The sequence below is a fragment of the Homo sapiens genome, chromosome Y, assembly GCF_000001405.40.
Source record: "Homo sapiens chromosome Y, GRCh38.p14 Primary Assembly".
NCBI classification, from domain to species: domain Eukaryota; kingdom Metazoa; phylum Chordata; class Mammalia; order Primates; family Hominidae; genus Homo; species Homo sapiens.
The window spans coordinates 18,177,132-18,187,250 of NC_000024.10; the positions used below are offsets into that span (position 1 = coordinate 18,177,132).

General features: G+C 36.5%; 2 pseudogenes; both read right to left on the bottom strand.

Moving 5' to 3' along the window:
* Nucleotides 813-2,388, bottom strand: ELOCP26 (elongin C pseudogene 26; annotated as a pseudogene).
* Nucleotides 5,686-7,684, bottom strand: CDY9P (chromodomain Y-linked 9 pseudogene; annotated as a pseudogene).

A 10,119-nucleotide genomic window follows, 5' to 3' on the forward strand; every position in this document is an offset into this window, starting at 1 on the left:
CAGTTTAATTGAGAGTGGATTTGTAATGGTGATGAAAATGTCTACTTTATAAAGGTTGACATCCTACATTAGCTGAGATATACTAACAGTATCAACCTTTGATATTAAAACATAAAATTAATTGAAGAATTCTGAGCCAAATATCAGTGACAAATGGTCCATGACACAGCCATACTCAGGAGATCTTGAGAACATGTGCCCCAGGTGGTGTGTGCACAGTCTATATTTATGCATTTTCAGGAGACATGAGACATCAGTCAAACACATGTAAGATGTACATTAGTTTGGTCAAGAAAGGATGGACAACTTGAAAATAGCGATGGGGCTGCACTTTCAAGTTACAGGTAGATTTAAATATGTTTTCATTGGCAGTTGGCTGAAAGAGTTAAGTTATTATCTAAAAACATAAAATCAACAGATAGGGATGACTGGGTTACAATAAATAGTAAGGACTGTAGAGACCAAAGTTTTATCATGATGATGAAGCCTCCATGTAGCAGGCTTGAGAGAATAGAAGGTAAATATTCCTTATCAGACTTAAGGTATGCATTGCTGTTAATGATGGTCAACTTTTTCTAAAGTTCAAAAGGGAGGAGCGTGTAATGAATCATGTGTGTCCCTCTTTCTTGTCGGGAACTGAACCACTTTTGGAATGCCTTTGGTCAAAAGGAGGGGTCCATTCAGATGACTGTGGTGGGTGGGGGGACGTGAGAGTTATTTTTTTTTACAAGTGTTTCACTTCTATTTAAAAAACTATAACCTATTAAATTGTTATAAATTATAATTAATCTAAGAGTAAAAAGGGATTTCTTAAATTAAAAAAAAAATCGAACACTAAAAATCCTAAGCCACCACACTTTGCCAGATCTTTTATTCTTTCTCTTTTTAAAGTTGTCAGGGATGCTTTGCTTGTAAGTCATATAGTTGACTCATTGACCATCGGGGTATAGTTCTGTTGCTTCTTCAAATATTGTACCTAGTAACCTTCCCAAATTGTTTTTAAGTAAAGTTCTTAAATTGTAGCAGTAAACAAAATGAAAAGACAATGTTACACAATACTGAGGTTTATCACAGGACATAAAAAATTTCAACTCTTATTCCTTTTCTTCTTCTTCTTCTTTTTTTTTTTTTTTTTTTTTTTTTTCTGGAGACAGGGTCTCATTCTTTTTCCCAGCCTGAAGTGCGGAATTGCCATCCTGGCTCGCTGCAGCCTCTAACTGCCAAGCTGAACTGATCCTCCACCTTAGACTCAGCTATCATCTCTGGCTAACTTTTTGTATTTTTTGGTAGAGACAAAGGTTTGCCATGTTGCCTGGACATGTCTCAAATGTCTGAACTCAAGTGGTCTGCCTGCCTTGGCCTCAAGAAGTGCTGAGATTATAGGCATCAATAAAACATTTATGTTAGGGTTAGATAAAAATCAATCTTTAGGCTAAGTTATGAACATGTATATAATGCAATTTTTTATTTGTGCCTAATTTTCATCATTTTCTGTGTTGACATTACTCATTTTAAAGTCACATTCAAGGGATAAGGCAAAATCACCTGTGAATTGGCATATTTGTTTATTTCTCTGTTTGGGAAAATGTCCTTAGTTTTTTCACGATGCAAAAAAATTTCAATTCTGTTATGCAAAAAACAGAAGAGAATCTTCTTTGCAATTAATTTTATAGGCCCCTTCACACAGGGAATGTGCTATTTATAAAAAAAAAAAAAAACTGAACTACAGATCTTAAACACTGAAAAAAATTAACAGTTTATTATAATTTATTTTATCCTATCAATTAATTGTATTTATATACAATCTTGAAAGTTTACAGTCATCAACAGTTCTACTGCAGTTTCAGGTGAAATGGGAATTTAGAAATTTCTATGGAGCTGTAGGCGTAGTGAAACATTTTGTTAAAATATGTCCGTGCTTTTGGCAGCACTTGTGAAGGGATGCCTCCAAATTAACCTCAATGCTTTTCTTCTCAGCAAAATGACCTGGGCCACTCAGTATGACTTTCTTTGTTGCTGATGTTCATGCATGTTCTCTTTTTACCATAAATTTATGACTCTGAAGATATCCATTTGACATGGTGGCATTAGGGCTTTCAAAATGACTAGATTTTCTACTCGCCATCCATTAGGTACTTACATGTTTCTACTTCGACTCCCCCAGAACATGAGTAGTTTCTGGTTAGCCCCACGGAGAGTGCAGCACAGGTCCCAATATAGCAATGCAGACTCCACCCCAAGGCCACCCTTCACCCCTAGCTGCATGATGCTGTGCATTCCAGGGAAGTTGGATGACACACAGCTTGTTGTTTTTACAAACAAAATTATTGTGTTAATTTCATTTTCATATGGTTTATTGCTAGTGTGTAGAAATAGATTTTAGTGTATCGATATTTTATACTGTATGTTTGTTTAATTTGTTTACTAGATTTTATTATTTCTTGTTGTTTTCTTATTTTCTGTATATGAGATCATGAGATCCATGAGTAGATAGTTTTACTTTTATTTTTCCACATATCAATAGCTTCGTATATATTTTTCTCTTCCAATTATTTTGGATGGAACTTCTAGTACTGTATCAAATACAATGATGAAAGTGTGCATCAGTGCTGTGCTCCTCATCTTAAAGTTTTTGTTCCCAACAATTCAGATGCTGATTGTTACAGGTTTTGCATAAAGATGTTTTATCATATGAAAGAAATTTGAAACACAGTTTATTGGATGTTGTTAACATTAAATATGTTGACTAACTTTAAGTATTTTCTGTAACAGTTGAGATAAACATGTACTGTTTTCCCATCATTTAGTTTACATGGTACATTGAAAAACGATGGCTTCAGAATGTTAAAGACAAACAAACAAACCCTAAATTTTCTAAAAAATGAACATAATTATTGAGGTGCATAATGTCTTCCCCATGTAGCAAATTTCATGTACTATTATTTTGTTAAACATTATAATGTATCTAATTATCATATTTATTAACATTTAGAGTTTTGTCCCAGTTGTATCATCTGCTTAATTCAATTTTCAATTGGAGTTAATAATAGTTAAGGTTTAGTATACTCTTATGGGCATTAGGGGTTAGAGATGAGAGTCACAGACAATATATTTAAAATTCTTTTGAAGGGTGATAGGATGACATTAAGAATGGGATAGAAGTTTGGGATTAGGGATAGGGGTTTACAATTGCAGAAATAAGTTTAGATTGAGGGTTAGGTCTGGGGTTGGATTAGAGGTTAGTGTTGTGGTAGGATTAGGGTTATGGTTAGGATTAGGATTAGGGACAGGGGTAGTTGGTGTTATGTTTAAGGCTAGGGTTAGAATCAGAATTAGCTGTTAATTTTAAGATCAGGTTATGTTTAGGTTTAGAGTAAGAAATAGGCTTACAGTTAGAGATTGGGGTTAGTGTAGGGTTAGGTTCTGGGTTAACATCATGGTGAGGATTAGGATTAGTGCCAAAGGTGAAAGTTGAGGTGACAGTGAGGGTTAAGGTAAGAGGGTTAGTGCATTAGTGTTAGGGTTTGGGTTTAGGGTTAGTGTTAGGATAAGAATAAAGATTTGGTTTAGCATTTAGGGTTCATGTCCTGGTTAGGGTTTCAGTTTAGCCTTACAGTTAGTGTTTAAGGTTCAGTTTTATTTTTAGGGTTATTGTTTAGCAATTAGGCTTAGGGTCAGCTTAGGGTTAGGAGAAGGGGTTAGGGTTTGGCCTGGTGTCAGGGTTTAGATTTAGTGTTACAGTGGGGTTAGGTTTAGGGTTAAATTTGGGATTGGGCTTATTGTATAGGATTATAGTTAGAGTTTAGGTTTCAGTGTTAGAGCTATGGTTGCAGTTGCATTTGAGGTTGTGGGTTAGAGTTAGGAGTAGTGTTAGTGTCAGGGTTTTAAGATTAGGGGTATGGTCAATGTATGGTTAGAATTAGGGTTAGGGTAGATTTGATTAGGGATATTGGTTAGGTGTTAGCTTACATTTTTAAGGTTCACATTTTAGTATTATGGTTACAGTCAAGGTTGCATTTAGGATGAGGTACGAAGTTAGCTTTAGGGATTAGAGTTAGAGTTAGGGGTTAGGGTTCATTGTCTAAAATTAGTGTTAGAGTTAGGTTTGGTTTAGTATTTAGGTTAGGGTTTTGGTGAGTGTTAGGGTTTAGGGTAGATTTAGGGTTAGGGGTAGGTTTAGGGTTAGGGGTTGGTGTAGGGATATGTACAGCGTTATGGGTTGGGGTAGGGTTACATTTATGGCTAGCGATATGTTTTGTTAATGGTTCAGGTTGGGTTTATATGAGGATTAGGGTTAGGGCTTCAGGGTTATTGTTAGTGTTTCAGCATTAGTATTAGGGGATATATTTAGGGTTAGATGTCTTTTTCACCCATCTCAACCCATGGAAGAATCAGCACACTCTTTCTGCCTTCTGAAGCTCATATGTACTCCATACGAATTTAGATTATTTATTTATTTATTTGTTTATTCATTTTATGTATTTATTTATTTATTTATTTGTTTTTGGAGACAGCGTTTCGCTCTTGTTGCCATGACTGGAGTACTATGGTGTGAACTCGCCTTACCACAACCTCCACTTCCCACTTTCAAGTGATTGTCTTGCCTCAGCTCCTGAGTAGCTGGGATTAAAGGCATACACCATCACACTTAACTAATTTTGTATTTTTATTAGAGATGGGGTTTCTCTATGTTTGTCAGGCTGGCCTTGAATTTGAACCTCAAGTGATTCATCGGCCTTGGCCTCCCGAAGTGCTGGGAACACACAAGTGAGCCACCATGCCCAGCATCAGATTTTGAAATAACTTGACTTAAAGTGGAGCTACCAACTATATGCCACTTCTCTGCTGTGGGTTGTACACTTCTTGGGATTGCATGGCTGCAAATAGATAAGTCTCCTCCAAACTTAAAGCTGCAGATACATCTCAACAAACTTCCTGCAGATAGAAGCTACCCACTCTGAAGCTTCTCTCCACTGAGGCCTTCAGAGATGTTTTAAAAACCTGCTTTTCCACTGAAACTGTTCACTCTCGCTCCTGTCTTCACTGAGTCTTGCACAGATGTAGATATGTCCTGTTTTTGAAATGCAGTTACCCATTTTCTCTCTTGAGAGCTGTACCTTCATCCAATAAAGCATCTATTTACCTTGATTATTCTCCTGTTGTCCAAATACCTCATTCTCCCTGGATATGCATCAAGAACTCACGACCCACTTAATGGTGCACAAGGCTGAAACACAGAAACCCACACTTACAATATTGTTGATTACAGGAAAAAAAAAGATAGAAGAGGTTCAGCCCTTAAAGAACCCAGGCTGAAACCTTTTCTAAGCCAGGTCTGTAACACAATCTTTGGGTCTTTGCAGTTTCTGGAATTTCTAAGCTTCTGGATGCCATGGCATTCCTGAGTGCCTCTGGAGGAAACAGGTTATGGTATGCCTGATCCAGCCAAAAATAAGTAGGGACCTGGCTCCTGATCTGGTACCTGGAACTTCTCACCTTATCACAGCTGACATGCTTGGAGGTGGCAAGTGGCTGGACTCAACAGTTGCTCATTCAAAGATCTCTCTCTACTCTGTGCCTGGCTCACCCATAGCAGGAATGCGTGATATTGTTTAGGGCTATTAAAATAAATTAATCAATCTTGCAGCTAATGATGTATTTTGCTCAGCTCAGTTTTTGTGTCCTGAGCAGACAGACTGACTATTAAAACTTATCAATTTTCCTTTGCATATACTTGAACATAGATTCTATTCCTTGTGCTCAGATTCAGATTTTTTTGGCACATCACTCTCTCTCATTGGCCTCTTTCAACTTCATCTTAATGTTACAGTAAATAAGGGCATTATTTTTCTCTAGCACAACTGAATTATATGAAGCAAATCCCTTAATTTGTATCATAACCACTTGGGGGAAAAGTTACAGTTCAAGACACCTGAGAGACCAGGTCTGTGGCACATGCCTCCCATGCTTTCAGCTTTCTCCCACCAATCAACATTACCTTGGCCGATGCTTCATCCATCATCTTGTGAAATTTAATGGTAAACAAGCCACCTGGGGTCGGTCCAAAAGTCACAGAAGGGGTTTAAAACCAAGCCTTTTAACCAAATCACAAAGAGGCAGTATGGATGCAGCTAGTCAAATGGCTGGGCTATTGGCTGATACAATTGGCTTCTCAAACTGAATGAAATTATTCACAGTGTTCTTTATGGTATCCACTATTTCAATGCTTGCTCTGTTTCTGTCATTTCTTAAATACACACAAAATCAAGACCTCAGCAAAGGACACAACCAGCTGGAGTGGGCAGCATAAACTTCCTGTCATCTGCAGCAGCCCTATGCAGAACATTCTTGATTTTTTTCATTACTTCTATATTTAGTGAGTTATTCTCTGTCAATCTTGTTGATAGTTTCTGGGTAAAGCCATCATTTTCCCTCACCGAAATGTCTCCGAGTCTACTGGCATTTTCTGTTAGCCTTATGGTAAAATACATGCTTTTGACAAAAGGCTGGTCTTTTTCATCATCAATAATCTTTCTTTGCCCCCCTCTCACACTTGGAACAAATATATGCAAGTTTTTTGTTCTGTTGGCTGTTCGTGGAATTGCTTATACCAATGTACCTTCTTTGCTGGCTAGGCCTGTAACCATGGAAGCAGTAACCAAGCCAGACCCCTGAGACATTAGTGGGTGTATCTTGCACCTGTTTTCTCCTCCAGTCTGTTCTGCACCAGGACATAATACAGCCCTGAAGGGGTTCTCAGCTGCCACCTTGAGCACCATGGTGTCCTGCTGATCCAGCAAAATAGGATCCAGTTTCCCGAGTTATTGAAATCCACTGTGTTCTTGCTGTTAAAAGTGCAAGTGTCTTGATAGTTTAATTTCTTAGCTCCATATTCCTTGGGTCGAAGAGAGGTGAAGCTGTGTTTCTCCTAGCGTTGTGGTTGGTAGCAAACAACTGGCAGTTTTTGGATGTGTGTTTGCAAGTCACTAGCGTTTTAGGAAGGTTCTTAAAAAAGTTGGAGTTGGTAGATCTGGAAGTTCCTTTTATGGCCTTGCTTGACAATGTTCTGCTTGTTTCCAGTCCGTGTCCTTCTTTTTCTGTTTTTTAATCTGTCATCTGTTAAAGTCATAAATACATTTTTCACAGTTTATGAAGTGCTGCTCCACTCCCCAAGTGTTATCCTGTTTGTCACAGCCTTTCCACTGAATGAAATACTCTGCCTTCCCATTTTTGTCTTGTCTTTCGTCAACAACAGTTTCAATCTCAAACTCCTGGGATGCCATGAAGGAAGAGATAGAATTGGAGCCATTATTGTGTCATTTTTCTTTCTGTTGAGTCTCCACATAGTCACTGCTTTCTGCCTCCATTTCTGCACCAGCCCTGGGTATGGATGAGCCTGTTCCGCTTTGTGGCCACTGGTGTAGTAAAAGTTGTGTGAAGAAGCAGCTATGCTATTTGCCTTAGTATCTCCTCACTTATTCCATGTTGGGACAGCTCAGGGTTCTGTTTATCATGCCAAGGTGTCTGACAAGGTAGCCTCAGGTACTCCTACTTTCTGGTGTAGTGCAGAGAGCTTTCTACCTGGCTATAACTCTTTGCTTTGTAGTTGCTCCAGTGATTATATTGAACATTCTAAAAGTAAAACACTGAAATCACATTAGTTTATTCTCAGTTAACATAAAAAACTCTTACTCCTTTATAGCATGGCCTGCTTTATTTCAATTACTGAGTTCTCAAAATGATAACAATATGCATTCTATCTCAAAAACACAAGCTAGTGAGTTTTTTAAAATAAAATAGTGTATTAAATTATGTGGAGAACATATTGTGAAGGTACACATTTTTTTTTATCTTTTGTAGTTGTTCATATATTTATCTGTACTTTATTCTTTGTTTATTAATATTTCTGTTCAGTGTCCTTTCATTTTACCCCGGAATAATCCATAAGGCATTTCTTAAATGGTTGTCTACTGGCAAAAGAATGTGGCTTTTATTTGGGAATTTCATAACTTCTCACTCACTTTTGATGGACACTTTGTTTAAACATAACATTTCTCTTTGAAAGTTTTTTCTTACTGCACTTGGAATATATGAGGCTACTCTGAATTTTTAGACATTCCCCTATTATTTATGAGGGTTTTTTGTACAATACTAGTCAAGATTTCTCTCGCTGCTTTCAAGATTCTCTTTGTCTTTGTTTTAGACCGTTTAACTATCATGTATGTTTGAGTGTGTTTCTTTGAGTTTATTTTACTTGGAGTTTGTGGAGTTTCTTAGATATTTATTACCTTAAATTTGTAACATTTTTGACCACTTTTTTTTAGTCTCCCTATTTCTTTGTCTCTTCTCCTTGAATTTCTAAGAGGCATAAGTAGGTCTGCTTGATGGTGTCACACTGGTTTCTAGATGTTTTCATATTTCTTTATTTTTTTCTCCTCTTGACTTAATAATTTCAATTGCCTCTTTTATTCAATTTGCTGACATTTTGTTCTATATGCTCAAGTCTCCTTTTAAATGTCTGTAGTAATTATTTATTTATTTATTTATTTGGGATGGAGTCTTGCTCTGTCATCAGGCTGGAGTGCAGTGGCACAAACTTGGCTCACTCCAACCTCTGCATCCTGGGTTCAAATGATTCTCCTGCCTCAGCCTCTTGAGTAGCTGGGACTACAGATATGTGTCACCACGCCCAGCTAATTTGTGTATTTTTAGTACAGATGGGGTTTCATCATGTTCCTCAGCATAGTCATGACTTCTTGACCTTATGATCTGCCACCTAGGCCTCCCGAAGTGCTGGGATTGCAGGCCTCTAGTGAATTTGTGTGTGTGTGTGTGTGTGTTTAGTAGAGTTGGGGTTTCACCATGTTAGCCAGGATGGTTTCAATCTCCTGACCTCTTGATTCACCCAACTCAGCCTCCAAAGTGCTGGGATTACAGGAGTGAGGCACCATGCCCGGCCATGAATTTTAATGTCAGTTGTTTTATTTTCATCTCCAAATTTTTTTTTTTCCTGAGAGACACTGAACCTGGCTCAGAATTTTTTTTCTAAGTTTGAAAATAATTTGTCATGCTTTCCCAAGAACCTGTATTATTTTAGTTTCAATCTCTGTTTCTTTGAACCTAAAGTAAGACGTGCATAGACATCACGTTTGTGAATTTTTCTTTTAAAGGTGCATTTGTGCCGGTCTGTGTGTTTTTATGTAAGAGCTCACATTTACAGTTATTACAAGCAAAAAAATTACTTACTGTGACATTTATTTACTTTTTTTATGTTATTTTTCTTATTTGATCCTCAATTAATCCTTTGTCCATTAAAAAAAGTTAACTTTTTAAACCTTTTTTATTATTTTCATGTCATTATTAGTTATATTTGGGATTTTAATTATATTCTAAACATAATATAATCTTCTTTGAATAATATTAACTTGTTTGAATAATCAAAATTTTAATTTCAACACTATAAATATATGCTGCTCCTGTACTTTTCTATCTTTCTCAATATAAATTGAGTCAGATTATATCTGTACACCCTGAGTGTCCATTAATGTAAATTTGTAAATTTTTATGTAATAGCTGCTTATGAGATCTGTAATAGTAATAGCTAACTTTGCCAGGATTGCAATAGTAATAGCATTTTTTTTTAGGGAATGGTTAATCACACATTCTTTTAGATTTTCTATATCTAGACATTTTTTGCTTGAGTATTATTTTTACAAGATATAGATTTTCTTGATTTCTCTAAGGTGTTTTTTTTTAGTTATTGATAGCTTAGAATGCATTCCATTAGCATTACGAATAACAGCAATATAAAAACTATTATTTTTTTAAAAACTTGATCTGTATTAACAAATCTGTTGTATTGTCTATTGTATGAAATAACTGTATTATTGCTTTCAACAACTTAACATTTTGTTTGTGACCAATTCCTGGTATTTTCAACCAAGAGTGACTTCTGAGTTTGACAAAACAGAAATAAATACGTTTCATCAATTCTTTATTTTTCTTCTAGAAAGACTACAACAAACGCAATAAATTAGCACACAAGTGCTTCTTCACTCCTCCCAGAATTAGGAACCAGGGCCTGAAATGGAAAATGCAGATTTCAATTTCGAAGCCTTC